This window comes from Homo sapiens, chromosome 20, assembly GCF_000001405.40.
Source record: "Homo sapiens chromosome 20, GRCh38.p14 Primary Assembly".
Taxonomy (NCBI): Eukaryota; Metazoa; Chordata; class Mammalia; order Primates; family Hominidae; genus Homo; species Homo sapiens.
The window spans coordinates 18,404,829-18,421,652 of record NC_000020.11 but is presented as its reverse complement, the minus strand read 5'-3'; the positions used below and the strand labels follow the sequence as shown (position 1 = coordinate 18,421,652).

Sequence of the window (16,824 nt, the reverse complement as noted above, 5' to 3'; positions counted from 1 at the left end):
GATGTCACCTGGAATCAGAGTCCTAAGTGATCTGGACTTTCCTTAATTCTAAATGCGGCATTCTTCATTTCAAGGTGCCTTTGAGCTTCTGATAAATGCAAACTGACAACCCTCAAGGCACAATGGAGGGGAAATAGTTGGTGCTTAAAGCCTAGAAGACTGCCCTTAACCAAGCAAAGTCCCTGATTGGCATTTGAAATGCTGAGGCAGTTGCTGTGGAGACATTTTTCTTATCCCACTAAATACCACTTTGTGGTTCTTATTTTTTCCCTAGTCACCTCCGTTTTAAGGATTCATCAAAAGTCCAAATCTGTAAGCGTCACATATGTGGAGCTTGTTGGAGAGAATCCTAGTAGTCATATTAATTGCACCAAAGTTTTACGGGGGGGATGTAGATGAAATCCAAAAGGTAAAACTTGAGATGCTAACAGTGAAATTTACTAAGTGCCCTTGGTGTATACCTGACGGCTTTATAAACATGACCAGTTATGTACTTCTTCATGTACTTCTTTCATCAAGAGATGTAGATATATTGTAGAACCCCTTAAGAAGGAAGAGGTGAGGTTTCCAATAGCATATTCTATACTGGTTCATTATAAAACTGAAACGCTTGACAGGCTCCAGAGAGCCATCTATATGCCTCAGAATTTCTATTGCATTCATGTGGACAAAAAAAATCAGCAGATTCCTTTTTAGCTGCAGTGATGGGCATTGGGTCATTTCAGTAACATCTTTGTGGCCTGTCAGTTGGAGAGTCTGGTTTATGCCTTGTGGAGTCGGGTTCTGGCTGACCTCAACTGCATGAGGGACCTCTGCACAGTGAGTGCAGACTGGAAGTACTTAATACATGTTTGTAGTATGGATTTTCCTATTAAAACCAACCTAAAATTGTTAGGAAGCTCAAGTTGTTAATGGGTGAAGACAGTCTCAAAGCCAAGAGGATGCCATCCAATAAAGAAGAAAGGTGGAAAAAGTGGTATGCAGATATTAATGGAAAGCTGACACATGTGGGGACTGTCAAAGGGCATCCTCCGCTGGAAGCACCCATTTTTTCAGGCAGTGCCTATTTTGTGGTCAGTAGGGAGTATGTGGGGCATGTGCTAGAGGATGAAAAAACCCAAAAGTTTATGGAGTGGGTGCGAGGCACAGACAGCCCAGATAAGTATCTCTAGGCCATCATCCGAAGGATCGCTGAAGTCCCTGGCTCATTCGCCTTAAGCCATAAGTACAAGTTGTCTGGAATGCATGCCGTTGCTAGGTTTGTCAAGTGGCAGTACTCTGAGGATGACGTTTTCAAGGATGCTCCCTACCCACCCTGCAGTGGGGTCTCCATGCACTCAGCATGCATTTTCGGAGCCAGCAGCTTGAACTGGATGCTGTGTAAACACCTATGGGTGCAAGCTTATACGTTTGACATGGATGTTGACCTCCTTGCCACCTAGTGTTTGGATGAGCATCTGAGGCATAAAGCTTTGGAGACTTTAAAACACTGACCATTATTAGCAATTTTGCGAATAAGAAGAAGGATGCACAAAATGCCCGCTATCTCATTCATCTTCCTTGTCAATAAGCATCAGAAAAGTTGTTTGGGGTCCTATTTGGGGCAGGGACTTTAAATCTTCATGTCAGAGAAGCTGCATGTTTTCTGCAGAGTACAATTGGCTAGAAAGGTGTTATAATTTCTACTTTAAACAATTATAAGGGCTTGTAAGGGAATTAAGAGGAAAAAACCAAAAAGATAAAGCTGTTTGTTTTTTTTTTTGTATTTACACCAATATTTATTTTTACTATTTCTGATGTTCTTTACTCTTCTCTGTGGACCTGAGTTTCTGTCTGGTATCATATCCCTTCACACAGAGGAACTCCCTTTATCACTTCTTAGAGTGCAGGTCTGCTGGCAGTGATTTCTCTTGGTTCTCTTTTACCTGAAAATGTCTTTATTTCAACTTCATTCTCAAAGAGTATTTTTGATGAATATGTAATTCTGGGCTGACAGTTATTTTCTTTCTGAACTTTAAAGCTGTTCCACACTCTTTTGGCCTCCATGCTTTCTGCTCAAAAGTCAAATGTAAATCAAATTGACATTTTCATGTACGGGATGTGTCATTTTTCTCTTGCTGCTTTTAAGATTTGCTCTTTATTGTTGGTTTTCAGCAGTTTGGCTATAATGTGCTTTAGTGTGAAGTAATTCTGGTTGGTGTTCATTTAGAATCTTGTCGCTGTAAATTTCTGTCTTTCATCAGATTTAGGAATTGTTCGGCCATGATTTCTTTATTTTTCTACTCCACTCATTTTCTACTCTCCGTCTGGAAGTCCATGTACACACCTGTTGAATTGTTTGATATTATCTAATAAGTCCCTGAGGTTCTGTTCATTTTTTTTTTTTTTTTTGAGATGGAGTCTCGCTCTGTCATCCAGGCTGGAGTGCAGTGGCGCAATCTCAGCTCACTGCAACCTCCGCCTCCCAGGTTCAAGCGATTCTCCTGCCTCACCCTCCCGAGTAGCTGGAATTACAGGTGTGCACCACCAAGCCTGGCTAATTTTTGTATTTTCAGTAGAAACGAGGATTTACCATGTTGGCCAGGCTGGTTTCATACTCCTGACCTCAAGCGATCCACCTGTCTCGGCCTCCCAAAGTGCTGAGATTACAGGCATGAGCCACCGCGCCAGTCCTGTTCATTTTTTAAAAATCTTTTTTTCTCTTCACATTGTATGATTTCTGTTGATCTATCCTCCAGTTCACTTACACTTTCCTTTACCATCTCCTTTAGCTATTCAGTCCGTCTAGTAAATATTTTATTTTAAATATTATCTTTTTCTATTCCAGAATTCTCACTTGTTTCTGTTTTTATTGTTTCTATTTCTTTGCTGAGATTTCCTCTTTTTATTCATTGTGGACAGAATATGCTTTAAATTTCTGGTTTGCTTCTTTCAACATCTGATTCATCTTAGGATCAATTTTGTGTGTGAAGCACTAGTTATAGTTTGTTCCAGGCAGCACATTCCCCAAAAGCAAGCATATATATCATTGCCTACTAAAACAAAGCAAACAAACAACAAAATCCCCAGAGTAACAGAATCTAGAAAGTACCACAGCTGAACATTCATAATGCTAGGGTACAATTTAAAATTCCTCAACATACTGAATACCAAGAAAAAAATTTGAGGGGAGGAGGGACAGAAAGTTTGGTCTCCATTCAGATATTTTATCTTTAGCTGAACTGCTTCAAGCCTATTCTGTACATATGTTGTTCAAGGATTGGTAAAAGATCTGAATACACAGAGAAGATCTTCTCTCTTTCTTGTTTCTTTCTGGGAGCTCCCTGCCTCTTCAGCAGCCAAATATTCCCCAGCTTCAGTTTTCTGGTTCTCTTGGCCAGAAATACTGCCTTGTGCCCACCGCTTCACATGCGCTATGTAGACTACCCTTAGCTCCAGGCTGAAAACTGTGACGATGGGAACTGACTTTGTATAACTCCCCTCCTGCTTGTATGTACTTGCTGCAACTCTACCTGCTTCTGTTCATTCTCTACTGCCTTCATGTATTATCAGCAGATTTTTTTTTTTGAGACAGAGTCATGCTCTGTCGCCCAGGCTGGAGTACAGTGGCATGATCTTGGCTCACTGCAACCTCTGCCTCCTGGGTTCAAGTGATTCTCCTGCCTCAGCTTCCCAAGTAGCTGGGATTACAAGCATGTGCCACCACGCCCGGCTAATGTTTGTATTTTTAGTAGACATGGTGTTTCACCGTGTTGGCCAGGCTGGTCTCGAACTCCTGACCTCTAGTGATACACTCGCCTCAGCCTCCTAAAGTGCTGGGATTACAGGTGTGAGCCACCACACCCGGCCTATTATCAGCAGATTTTATAGTTGTTTTTTGTGTGGGAGTCATTTATTATGGTCTTATGCTATCATTACCAGAAGGAAAAATCTGTAGTTTTTTTTAAAAAAAGATGATTTCTGTTACATACGATGTGTTTCTTTTTCAGAACTGAGACTAAAAACAAACTAATGAGGTGTTGAATTTCATCAGAAAACACATCTATTTCCACATCAAAGCTGATGTAATTTTAGGGTTCTCTTTTGTTGAGAGTTGTCTATTAATGTGGTTTTAGACTTGATATCACTCTCTCATCATAAAATGACACTCTATAATTTTTTCCAAGGCACCAGAGAGAGTAATAGTGAGATTGGGAAAGCATAAAAATAGAAAACAGTGGAACTTCTGGAATTCTTGAAATATTCTTACAGATAGATTTCAGTAAATTGCCAGCAAAAGATTTTCTCAGACATCCTTTCCTCAGGCATTCAGGACTTCTTATGTAAATAATAAAACCATTTAAATTGATTTTGTTAACTGTCAGTGATGTAACTGTTTCTGGGTCTCATCTATCAACAAAACTATTTTCAGAACAATCCCAAAATTGAATTTGTTCTAAAAATTGTATTTCTATCTGAATGGTATATCAGAGCTTAGATGCCACAGGATAATACTTATCTCTGTAGTCCATAGAAGTAACAATGCATGTTCATTCTGATAGCTTTATGTCTTTTCTTTGTTTAGCAGCATTAATATGATGGGGTAAGATAACTTTTCTTTCTCTTCTTTTTTTTTTTTGTTTTTTTTTGTTTTTTTGATCAGTAAGACTACCAGAAAGATAACTTTTCTTTCTTTAAAGCAATGTTATGTTTAAAAGCCACTTGAACAGTCAGTACATTTCAATGAAAAGTCTGAAGGCTTTGTATTTAGAAACCAAGGTCAGCAACCTTTATGCCAAAATCCTGTTTTAAGAATAGGATAATTGAAATGTAAGTTCTGAAGCAAAAGTTTGCAGAGAATTTCTCTTTGATTTACCTGAAGGAGTTTCCCTCTAATTGCACAGAAATGAAGGCAAGCGCACACAAAGAGGCCCTCTGTTCTCGGGTGTCTATGAATGCTGGGGGCTGATGTGGCCTCTCTTGAGTAGGTTTCTATTCTAGATAACAGAGCGGTCCCTGAAGCAAAACGGGATAGAGCTGGGCAGATAGAGTGAACTAAAATGTGTGTCTTTAGGGAAAAGTGCCCTTAGCAAATGTTTTCCCTGGTGTGCGTGTTCTTAGTATTGTGCCTGGCATATGTGGTAATACACATTCAGTTACCAATTGAATCAGTCATTCATTGACTCAGTAAAACCTTTTGAATGACTCCCATGTGCCAAGGTACCAGGACTGTCCTAGTGCGGGGAATAAAAGTGAAATTATAGTCCTTTCTCCTGAAGAAATCAGGGTCTAGTGGAAAGGAAGGTGGGACCGGAAGGAAGCTGGCCGGTGGAGCTTGGCCCTGTGCTAAGCATTCCTATCCACTTAACTGTGGGTAATCGTCTGAAACTCCCTACAGACCTGGGAGTAAGCTATTGTATTGAAGGGGCTGTATGGAGTCAGGGAGAGAAGCCAGGCTTTAGAGTCAGATGGCTCTAATCGTGCATCTCACCCTCTCTGTGTCCCCAAGCTCTCCCTCTGTAAGATGGGGACAATGACAGCACCCACCTCCCAGGTCTACAGTGGGACTGACGTGAGGGTGCAGGGCAGTGTGGGAATGGAGCCTGCACATGGTGGGTGGTCAGGTAGCAGCCACTGTGCTGTCACTCCCATTTGGGAAGTGAGCAAGTCTCCTACCAGGCAATAGTGAGGAAGCAACAGATTCAAATATAGGTTTACCTAACATAGTCCCAGGAATTCTCACAAAACAATTCTGCCTCTGTCCCCAATATAAAATAATTGTTCTCATGTGTCAAGAATGGGAAATGAAGTCACATTTTTCTATGGAAACCAAAACTCCAAAGGATAGAAGATAAGCCTCAATCATGACCGCTCAGGTAGCTTAGCTCTCTTCTTCCTTCATTAATATTGTTCTGTTAAATCAACAGTAGGGCTTGCTATCCCTGATATTAAAGATATTGAAAAATATTAAGATGTGCAAGGTACCAGTTTCATTGACTTTCTGTTATCTCCATGAAGGAATGTGAGCTCTATGTACTAATTTATTAATTGGTGAAACTCATCATAGCTGTACTCCTTTGGGAAAAAAACAAAACAAAACAAAACAAAAAAAACACTATTTCCGGGGCTCATCTTGTCTGGGAATTTTTTATCTTTTTTGAATTGGGAGGGGGATTAGAGAATATAGTACTGATCCTGCCTTTAAATGCCATTTCATTCACCAGTCGATGTGCAGTGGGGATAAAGCCCCTCCTCCGCCCACTCAGAAAGGGGGGACCATTTCCTGCTACAGATGTGGTCGCTGGAATCTCTGGGAGGCGTCCTTCTGCGGCTGGTGTGGAGCCATGGTGGGTATTTTAAAACTGAGATTCTGTATACTGAGCACCTCACCACTGGCCTGGAGAGAGCCAGGCACTTCTTCCATGGCCTTGCAGAAATCACTTCTTGTGATTTCGCTACTGGTACCTATAACCTAAGAATCTGGAGATAGAGATAATTAATTATCTTACACTGAGAGCCATCTCTGATGACTGTTTTGACTTGCATTTCTTTGAGGTTAAACCTTTTCACTCGTTTATTGACTACTGGCATTTTTTAAAATGAATTATGTCTGCCTGCCTTTATAATAAAACACTCAAGACTATGTATTTATTTAAGTATCGCATGCAAATAACAAAAAAGTTTTAGAGTGAAGGGTTAGTCTCCTCTCTCTCTAAGTCCCACAGTTCTCCTCTCAGAAGCAATTGCTCAGATCCAGTTCTTGAGATGTTCTTTCAGCTATTCAATGCATGTATAAGTAAACTGGTGCTATGAACACTGACCCAATTATTTTCACCTAGCAAGGTGTCTTGTTAGTAACCTCCTCATTCTTTTCAGTGACTTCATAATCCATTGTTTGTATGTATGTACTGTGTTATATTTAGACCATCCCTATTGCTGGACATGTGTGTTGTTTTCAGTGATTTCTTTTAAAACCACAGTGTTTTAGGGGTTGACCTGGAGTACACTTCTTTCTGTACTTGTCCATCTGTAGGATAAATTCTGGAAGGTAGAATGGCTGGGTCAGAGAGTCTGGGCATATGTTAATTTGTATGGTATGAGAATAATTTACATGAGGAAATTATAACTCTAATATTCATCAAGATATTTTCTATCCTCTAGCTCGGCATTCCTGCTGGCTGTTCTGTTTGCCCTAAATGTGGGGCCAGCAATCACCTGTCTGCCCGATTCTGTGGCTCCTGTGGTATTTGTGTGAAGTCCCTAGTGAAACTTAGCTTGGACAGAAGCCTGGCTCTAGCTGCTGAGGAACCTCGCCCTTTTTCTGAGGTGAGGCCTCCCCTGTAGTAAGAACTGGTACCCAGGAAGAGGCTGTAACTCTGAATGTGTGTGCTCCACCCTGTGAATCAACCCGGGGAAGAGACCCAAAACTTTTAGAACTTTCACATGGAATTTCAACTAGGTGTGTAAATAAATGCAGTCAATTTAGATTTTAATTGCATTTGCAAGGCCGTAGACATAATGCCACTTTAGTGGCTTTAAAATACATGAGACAGAATGCACTTCTCTTGAATTTCTTATGTAGCATTCTGAGAACTTTTCCTTCCCCTTTTTTATATTTTAGAAAGCTTAGGGTATATAAGATTGCTTTTGTAATTTATAACAGCTGGGCATAGTTTGAGGACAAATCTCACCAGGTTATTTTCAGAAGTACTTAAGCTCTAACAACTGGCTTTGTGTTAGATTTTTATAATTTTATACATTTCTCTAAGCTGGATAAAGACTTTCCATGTTTCTTCTTATCTCTTTATTATAAGAAGTTAAAGATTGATCATTATTAGAGGATACACTCAGCACTTTGTATGCAGTTTTAGGGAGTTCATGACCTTTTTTTTTTGAGACAGAGTCTCGCTGTGTTGCTCAGGCTGGAGTGCAATGGTGCAATTTTGGCTCACTGCAACCTCTGCCTCCCAGGTTCAAGCAATTCTTCTGCCTCAGTCTCCTGAGTAGCTAGGATTACAGGCCCGTGCCACCATGCCCGGCTAATTTTTGTATTTTTAGTAGAGATGGGGTTTCACCATGTTGGTCGGGCTGATCTCGAACTCCTTACCTCGTGATCCACCCACCGTGGCCTCCCAAAGTGCTGAGATTACAGGCATGAGCCACCATGCCCAGCCGTTCATGGCTTTCTTAACCCAGTTTGAAAGATTTAAATCCTAAACTGCCACTAGCCCTTATTCCTTTGTGCAAATGAAACAAAGGTGTTCTTTTCTCAAGACACTTGACTGCCATCTATTGGAAATTGCTTGTAATATACTGGTTTCTCTACTAGAAAAATTACCCTAATACATATGCAAATATATGATGTTCACCATATGAATGGTACTACTTTGAATGCAGTGACGTTGTGCAACGCACAACCTTTCATGGTAGTCCTCTCAGGTCCCCAGGTTTAGATGCAGGAAAGTATGTTAGAGAAAATGTTGGTGACCAGTGGCTGAGTGTGGATTAGTAGTGAAGTCTATGCTCTATTGGATTACAGAGCTGAAAAGGATAGATATCTTCCAGGCATCAAGCAGGCCGGCAAACACCCCTTGATTTGCTGACTTTTAGATAATAAATGGCTAATCCTGGATCAGGCTGGAAGTTGCTGAGAAAGACAGGAGCAAGGAAGATGAGGCAAAGGCTGGAAAACCCTATTAGTTCCAAGTACACTTTTCTTGAGATACTTTTTATTCTGATTAGAGTTGTTTTCTATAAGTAAAATGCAAGATTGATTAAATTATATTCTAATTTTAAAAATGTCTTCTGCCTCACGCATGGCCCCGATGTGCCTGGCAGTCCCTGAATATTCCTTTGCCCAGATCTGATGTTGGGACTAAGAGGGACATAGGAACACAGACTGTTGGCCTCTTCTACCCATCTGGCAAGCTGCTAGCAAAAAAGGAACAGGAACTAGCCTCTCAAAAGCAGAGGCAGGAGAAAATGAGTGACCATAAACCCCTCCTGACAGCCATCAGCCCAGGAAGAGGTAAGGGGGAGGATGCCCTTTCTTCTGGTCGGGAGGGAATTCACTCTTTCTGTGAAAGAACATTTCATTTTCTCTTCCTTTTAGATTTATTTGTATGTGTAAGAAGTAAGTTTCTTTCTTTTCCTCTTTTTCAAGTAATTTTCTTTGTATTGGAAAAAGAAGCTCTTCCTGTAAGCTCCTTCTTAAACTTTCAGTATTCTGATGTTTTAGCTCATAGCCCTGTAGTCTAGTTCCTCAGTCACATGGCGCATGTGGGTTTCTTTTGTCGTGACGGCATGTTGTTAGTGCACAGTGCTATTGCTATCTGCCATTATCCCTTTTTTTAATTGTAAAATTTAAATAACATAAAATTCACCATTTTGACTATTTTTAAGTCTATAATTTGGGCCAGTTGTGGTGACTCATGCCTGCAATCCCAGCACTTTGGGAGGCCAAGGCTGGAGGATCTCTTGAGTCTAGTCTGGCCAACAAAGTGAGACCCTGTCTCTACAATTTTTTTTTTAAAGCAGTCATTTGTGGTGGTGCATGCCTGTGGTCCCAGCTACATGCTTCAAATTTCATTTTGAAATTTAATCTCTATTGTGGTGGTATTAAGTGGCGGGACGTTTTGGAAATTGATCATGAGGATGGAGCCCTCATGAATAGATCAGTGCCTTATGAAAGGGCTGGAGGGAATGAGTTAAGGCCCCTTTTTGTCCTTTGGCCCTCCCTCCATGTGAGGACACAACGTTGCCCTCCTTTGGAGGATGCAGCAACGAGGCACCATTTTGGAAGCAGAGAGACCAGGCCCTCCCCAGACACCTAACCTGCAGGGACCTTTATTTTGGACTTCTAGCTTCCAGAATGTGAGAAATAAATTCCTGTTCTTTATAAATTACCCAGTCTCAAGTATTTTGTTTATAGCAGCACAAATGGACTAAGACAGTTTGCTAGTATTTTCTTGAAGACTTTTGTGTCTATATTTATAAGAGATATTAGTCTGCAGTTTTCTTCTTTCCTTCTACTGTCTGTCTGATTTTGGTATCAGGATAATGGTAGCCTTATAGAAACACTTCTTTTTTTTTGAAGTGGTTATGAAGAATTGGTATTAACTATTATTTAAATTTTGGTAAATTACCTGTGAAGCTATCTGGATCTGATGTTTGTCTAGTGGGCAATTCTGATTACTCTTTACTTTTTATAGGTCTGTTCAGATTTTCTATTTCTTGTTGAATCAGTTTTGGTAGTTTGTGTTTTTCCAGATATTTATCTATTTCATCTGATTAATTTATTAGCATACAGTTGTTTGTGATACTCTTTTATAATCTTTTTTATTTCAATAAAGTTGGTGATAACATCTCCTATTTCATTTCTAATTCTAGTAACTTGAGATGTCACTTTTTTTGGTCAATCTTACTAAAGGTTTATCAATTTCATTGATCTTTTCCAAGAACCAACTTTTGGTTTTATTGATTTTCTATTATTTTTATATTCTGTATTTCACTAAATTCCACTCTCATCATGATTTCCTTCTTTCTTCTTACTTTAAGTTGACTTTGCTCTTCTTTTCCTCGTTTAAGGTCAAAGATTAGGGTGATGATTTTGAGATCTTTCTTCAGAATGTGAACATTTGCTGCTATAAATTTCTGTTTGAGCTTTGCTTTCACTGCGTCCCATAAGTTTGGTGTACCTTCATTTTCTTTCTTTCTTTCTTTTGAGATAGGATCTCACTTTGTCACCCAGGCTGGAGTGCGGTGGCACAATCATGGCACACTGCAGCCTTGACCTCCTGGGTTCAAGTGATCCTCTTCCCTCAATCTACTGAGTAGCTGGGAGCACAGGCACAAGCCACCACACCTGGATAATTTTTAAACGTTTTTGTAGAGATGGGGTGACACTGTGTTGCCAGTGTTGCCGGTCTCAAACTCTAGGTGTCAAGGAAGCCTCCCACCTTAGCCTTCCAGAGTGCTAGGATTACAGGCATAAGCCCCTGTGTCCAGCACCATGAATCAGGGTTTTTTGTCCATTCTGACAATCCCTGTTTGTTTGTTTTTTAAATTGGATTGTTTCATCCATCTACATTTAATGTTATTATTGATAAAGTTGGACTTATCATTTTGCTTTTTGTTTTCCAAATGTTTCTAAATGCCTTTTTTGTTCCTCTGTTGCTCCTTTACTGCTTTCTTTTGCATTGCATATTTTCCAGTGTAACATTTTGATTTATTTAATGACTTTTTCACTACATACTTTGAGTTATTTCCTTAGTGGTTACTATAGGGTTTTCCTCATACATCTTAACAGACTATACTTCAAGTTTATACTAAATTAATTCCAATGAAATATATAAATTCTACCCCTATAATTCAATTCCCTCTTCCCAACTTTTGTGGCATTATTTTCTAATATAACATTATGTTTATGTTTACATATATGTTATAAACTCTCAAAACACTGTTACAATTATTAGTTATAACATGATGTCTTTTAAAAAAAGAACTATTATTTATGGCTTTTGTTATATTAGCCTTCTTTTCCCCCATTTATAGTTCTCTTAATTTATTCCTTTGGATTATTTCCTAAGCCCAATGAAGCTTTGCTCTTACTCACCTCCCTTTTTTTTTTTTTTTTTTTTTTGAGACGGAGTCTCGCTCTGCCACCCAGGCTGGAGTGCGGTGGCGTGATCCCGACTCACTGCAACCTCCGCCTCCTGGGTTCAAGCGATTCTCCTGCCTCAGCCTCCCAGATAATTTTTTGTGTTTTTAGTAGAGACAGGGTTTCACTGTGTTAGCCAGAATAGTCTCGATCGCCTGACCTCGTGATCCACCCGCCTTGGCCTCCCGAAGTGCTAGGATTACAGGCGTGAGCCACCACGCCTGGCCTCACCCACCTTCTTTGTGTTGTTATTGGTCAATATATCTTATTTCTATATGTTATAGGCCAAACTGTATAATTATATTCATATTCATATTGTTTTACATACTCTCTTTTTGAATCTGTTGAGAAGAAGGGAAAAGAAATATGCATTTATAATGTCTTTTATAATTACATAATTACCTTTACTGGTGGTGATGGTGGTGGTGGTGGTGTGTGTGTGTGTGTGTGTGTGTGTGTGTGTATTCATATTACTCTCTAGGGTCATGTGCTTTCAGCCTAAAGAACTTCATAAGTATTCTTATAAGGTAGATTTGCTAGCAATGAATTCTCTGTTTTTGTTAAACTCTACTAGCTATAAGATTCTTGCTTTACAGTTGTTTTCTTTGAACACTTTGAATACGTTGATCTACTGTCTTCTGGCCTCCGTTATTTCTGATGAGAGTTCTGCTGTTAATATACTGGGGATCCCTTGAACCTTAGGAATCACCTCTCTCTTGCTTCTTTCAAGATTCTCTTCTTGTCATATTCTTTCAACAGTTTGATAATGTGTCTCGCTGTGGATCTCTTTGGGTTTATCCTACTTGAAACTTGTTGAGCTTCTTTTTAAAAAATTTTTAAATTTTTTATTTAAAAAATTTTTGTGGGTACATAGTAGGTGTATATATTTATGGGGTACGTGAGATATTTTGGTAGAGCCATGCAATGCATAATAGTAACACTGATTGCATAAACAAACAAACTTGCAAAATGGAAACTAATAAAAACTCTAGATTTAATCCCCCCTGCTTTTTAACTTTTTGTTTTTTCTCTTTAGTGTTATTGTACTGTCTTAAAAAGTTGTAGTTATTATTTTTGATTGGTTCATAATTTAGTCTTTTTATTTAAGTCAAGAGAAGTTCACACACCACAATGCCAGTGTTATGCTATTCTGTGTTTCTCTGTGTGCTTACTATTACCCATGAATTTTGGACCTTCGGATAATTTCTTCTTGCTCATTAACATCCTTTTCTTTCAGATTGAATAACTCCCTTTAGCATTTCTTGTAAACAGTCTGGTATTGATGAAATTCCTTAGCTTTTCTTTGGGAAGATCTTTGTTTCTCCTTCATGTTTGAAAGATATTTTTGCCAGACATATACTATTCTAGGGTAAAACTTTTTTAATTTTTTTCAGCATTTTAAATATGTCATGCCACTCTCTCCTGGCCTATAGGATTTCTGCTGAAAAGCCTGCTACTGAAGGTATTGGAGGTCCATTGGATGTTATTTGTTTCTCTTCTCTTGCTGCTTTTAGGATACTTTCTTTATCCTTGACCTTTTAGAGTTTAATTATGAAATGTCTTGGGGTAGTCTTCTTTGGATTAAATCTGCTTGGTGTTCTATAACTTTATTGTACTTGAATGTTGATAGTTTTCTCTAGGTTTGGGAAGTTCTCTGATACTATCCATTTGGTTTTTTTGTTTGTTTGTTTGTTTTTTTGAGACGGAGTCTCACTCTGTCCCCCAGGTTGGAATACAGTGGTGTGATCTCAGCTCACTGCAACCTCCACCTCCTGGGTTGAAGCGATTCTCCTGCCTCAGCCTCCCAAGTAGCTGGGATAGCGGGCGTGAGCCACTATGCCTGGCTAATTTTTATATTTATAGTAGAGATGGGGTTTCACCCTGTTGGCCAGGCTGGTCTCGAGCTCCTGATCTCAAATGATCCACCCACCTTGGCCTCCCGAAGTGCTGGGATTACAGGTGTGAGCCACCGCATCTGGCCTGATACTATCCCTTTGAAGAAACTTTCTACTCCTATTTCTTTCTCTACCTCCTCTTTAAGGCCAAATACTCTTAGATTTGCCCTTTTGAGGCTATTTTCTAGATCTTATAGGTGTGCTTTGTTGTTTTTTATTATGTTTTCTTTTGTCTCCTCTGACTGTGTATTTTTGAATAGCCTGTCTTCAAGCTCACTTTAATTCTTTCTTTTGCTTAATCAGTTCTGCTATCTAGAGACTCTGATGCATATTTTAGCATGTCAGTTCTATTTTCCAACTCTAGAATTTCTACTTGATTCTTTTTAATTATTGCAAACTCTCTTAAATTTATCTGACAGAATTCTGAATTCCTTTTCTGTGTTATCTTGAATTTCTTTGAGTTTCCTTAAAACAGCTATTTTGAACTTTCTGTCTGAAAGGTCATATATCTCTGTTTCTCCAGGATTGGTCCATGGTGTCTTATTTATTTCATTTGGTGAGGTCATGTTCTCCTGAATGCTGGTGATGCTTGTAGATGCTCTTCAGTGTCTGGGCCTTGAAAAGTTAGGTATTTATTGAGGTCTTCACAGTCTGGACTTGTTTGTGCCTATTGTTCTTGGGAAGGGTTTCCAGGTATTCGAAGGGACTTGGACCCCAAGCCCCATAACACTGTGATTTTTGCAGACTTGTAGAGGTACTGCTTTGTGGTCTTAGATAAGATCCAGAAGAATTATCTGGACTACCAGGAAGAGATTCTTGTTATTTTCCCTTCTTTTTCCCAGACATACAGTCTCTCTTTGTGTGCTGAGCCACCTGAAACTAGGGGTATGGTGATGCAAGCACTCCTGTGGCCACCACTATTGGGACTGAGTTGGGTCATACCTGAAGCCAGTATAGCACTGGGCCTTGCCCAAGGTCCTAACCTTCCAGGTGGTGAGTTCTACCAGGCCTTGAGCATGTCCACAGATGCTGTCGGGAGCCAAGGGTTAGAGTAAAAAAACATAATTATTTACTTGATGTTCTATTATATTGCAGCTAAGCAATCAAATCATAGAAAGTCTTTCCTGCTCTTCCCTCCCCTTTCCACAGGCAGAGGAACCTCTCCCTGTGGCCACCACCACTACTGGTCCACATGTCCACAGGGGATTCTGCCAGGCCACTGCCAATGTTTGCTTGAAGCCCAAAGGCTCTTCTGTTAGCTTGTGGTGAATGCTTCCAGGCCTGGGACTCACCCTTCAGGGCAGTGGGCTCCCCTCTGGCCCAGAGCAGATCCAGAAATCCTGTCCAAGGCCCTAGGCCTAGACTCAGGGACCCCAAGAGCCTGCTTGTTGCTCTCCCCCACTGTGTTCAAGCTGGTACCTAGGGTGCAAGATGAAGTCCCCTTTACTTTTCCCTCTGCTTTTCTCAAACAGAATGAGTCTTGCACCATAGCCACTACAACTTGGAATGTGCTGGGTCTTCCCTGAAGTTAGCACATATTAGAGCACAAGGCCCACAGCATACTCCCTGGGTATTGCTGGTGGTTATTTGGGCCCAGGGGCCCTTTAGTCAGCAGACGATCAATCCCGCTAGGACTGGGGCCTTCCCTTCAAGACAGTGAGTTCCCTTCTGGCCCAGGATTTGCCTAGAAATGTCAGCTGGGAGCTAGGGCCTAGAAGGGGGGCCTTACGGCTCTGCCTTATGCCCTGTCCTACTGTGGCTGAGCTGGTATCCAAGATACAAGACAAAGTGCTCTTTACTCCTTGCTCTCCTCTCCTTAAGTAGAAAGGAGTCACTTTTGTTGCCATGAGCTGCACTGCCTGGAGTTGGAGAAGGAATATTACAAGTCCTCCTTAAACCATGCCAGCTGGTGTCTCCCTAGGTCACGTGCCACCCGAGTTTACTGCCTCTGAGCCTAGCCTAGCACTAGGAGTTGCCTAGGAATTTCAGTCTTTGTGTCCTAGACTGCCTTTCAAGTTTACCTATGATCCCAGAGCACCTCGGCCACCAGTGGCGAGGCTTGCTGAGAAATTCAAGTTCAGACCACTAGGATGAGCAATTTCCCTCTGGCTACGGTTGGTCCAAATGCTCCCTCCATGTGCGGGCACTGGCTGAGCCCAGCACGGCTTTATTTTCAGCTGTGACAGGGCAGTACCGAGTTCAGTGTACAGTCCCCCAGTCACTGTGCTCTCCCTCCCCAAAGTGCACACATTCTCTTTCCATCCTGTATAGCTGCTGCTGGGGGATGGGGAAGGATGGTATCAGTGATTCAAGACCGTCTCTCCTGCCCTTCTCGATGCCTCTTTTCACAATATGAAGTTAAAACCAGGTATTGTGATTGCTCACCTGATTTTTGGTTCATGTAATGGTGCTTTTCTGAGTACAGATAGTTGTTAAAATTTGGTGTTCCAGCAGGGAGGATGAATGATGTAGGCTTTTTCTGCCATCTTGCTCCACCTCCAGCTTTTTGAGCTTCTTGGATGTATAAATTCATGTCTTTTATAAAATTTGGGAAGGGTTTGGCAATCATCTCTTCAAATATTTTTTTCTGTCCCATTTCTCTGTCTCTTCTCCTTCTGGGATTCTCATGTAGATGTTGGCATGCTCAATAGCTTCCAATGGGTCTCTTAGGCTCTGTTCATTTTTCTTCATTCCTTTTTCTCTCTTTTTTTTACGTTGTATAATATCTATTGACCTATTTTTCAGTTTGCTAATTCTTTTTTATCCTACTTCACATTTACTGTTGAGCGCCTCTTGTGAATTATCTATTTTAGTTATTGTACTTTTCTGCTACATATTCTTATTTGGTTTTCCTTTCATGTGTTTATTTATATTCTCTTATTTCAGGAAGAATTCTTCCTTCTTTTTTTATTTTTATTTTTTATAGGCAGAGTCTTGCTCTGTTACCCAGGCTGGAGTGCAATGATACAAATCACAGCTCACTGCAATCTCAAACTCCTGGGCTTGAGCAATGCTCCTGCCTCAGCCTCCCAAGCAACTGGGACTAAAGGTGCACACCATCATGCTTGGCTAATTAAAAAAAAATTTTTGTAGAGATGGGGTCTCACTATATTGCCCAGGCTGGTCTCAAACTCCTGGCCTCAAGCAATCCTCCCACCTCAGCCTTCTGAAATGCATCATAATTTCTTCTATTTTTTTTTTTTTCTAAGAGTCAAGGTCTTGCTCTGTCACCCAGGCTGGAGTGCAGTGGTGCAATTATAGCTGACTGCAGCCTCCAAATCTTGGGCTCAA

General features: G+C 40.5%; 1 protein-coding gene and 1 pseudogene across 31 annotated transcripts in view, besides 2 other annotated features; both read left to right on the top strand.

The window, feature by feature from the left end:
• DZANK1 (double zinc ribbon and ankyrin repeat domains 1) overlaps window positions 1-16,824 on the top strand; it is an 83,664-nt gene that overhangs the window by 45,378 nt on the left and 21,462 nt on the right. For 23 of the 31 annotated variants that reach the window (XR_007067462.1, NR_160273.1, NM_001367617.1 and 20 more), the window contains 3 exons: window positions 6,204-6,326; window positions 7,141-7,305; window positions 8,800-9,007. Coding sequence is in view for 28 of the 31 variants with exons in the window: in NM_001367617.1 (NP_001354546.1) it covers window positions 6,204-6,326; window positions 7,141-7,305; window positions 8,800-9,007 (496 nt within the window). In the remaining 3 variants the exon portion in view is untranslated. The remainder of the gene's footprint in view (window positions 1-6,203; window positions 6,327-7,140; window positions 7,306-8,799; window positions 9,008-16,824) is intronic. The other 8 variants (NR_160274.1, NM_001099407.2, NM_001351684.2 and 5 more) reach the window with 1 other exon arrangement.
• GCNT1P1 (glucosaminyl (N-acetyl) transferase 1 pseudogene 1) lies at window positions 25-1,676 on the top strand (annotated as a pseudogene).
• Window positions 8,102-8,151: a silencer, noted in NCBI's record as "silent region_12702". NCBI's record gives its function as "represses an Ori minimal core promoter by ATAC-STARR-seq in GM12878 lymphoblastoid cells {active_cell/tissue: GM12878}" and the evidence as "EXISTENCE:reporter gene assay evidence [ECO:0000049][PMID:35858748]".
• Window positions 9,022-9,071: an enhancer, noted in NCBI's record as "active region_17584". NCBI's record gives its function as "activates an Ori minimal core promoter by ATAC-STARR-seq in GM12878 lymphoblastoid cells {active_cell/tissue: GM12878}" and the evidence as "EXISTENCE:reporter gene assay evidence [ECO:0000049][PMID:35858748]".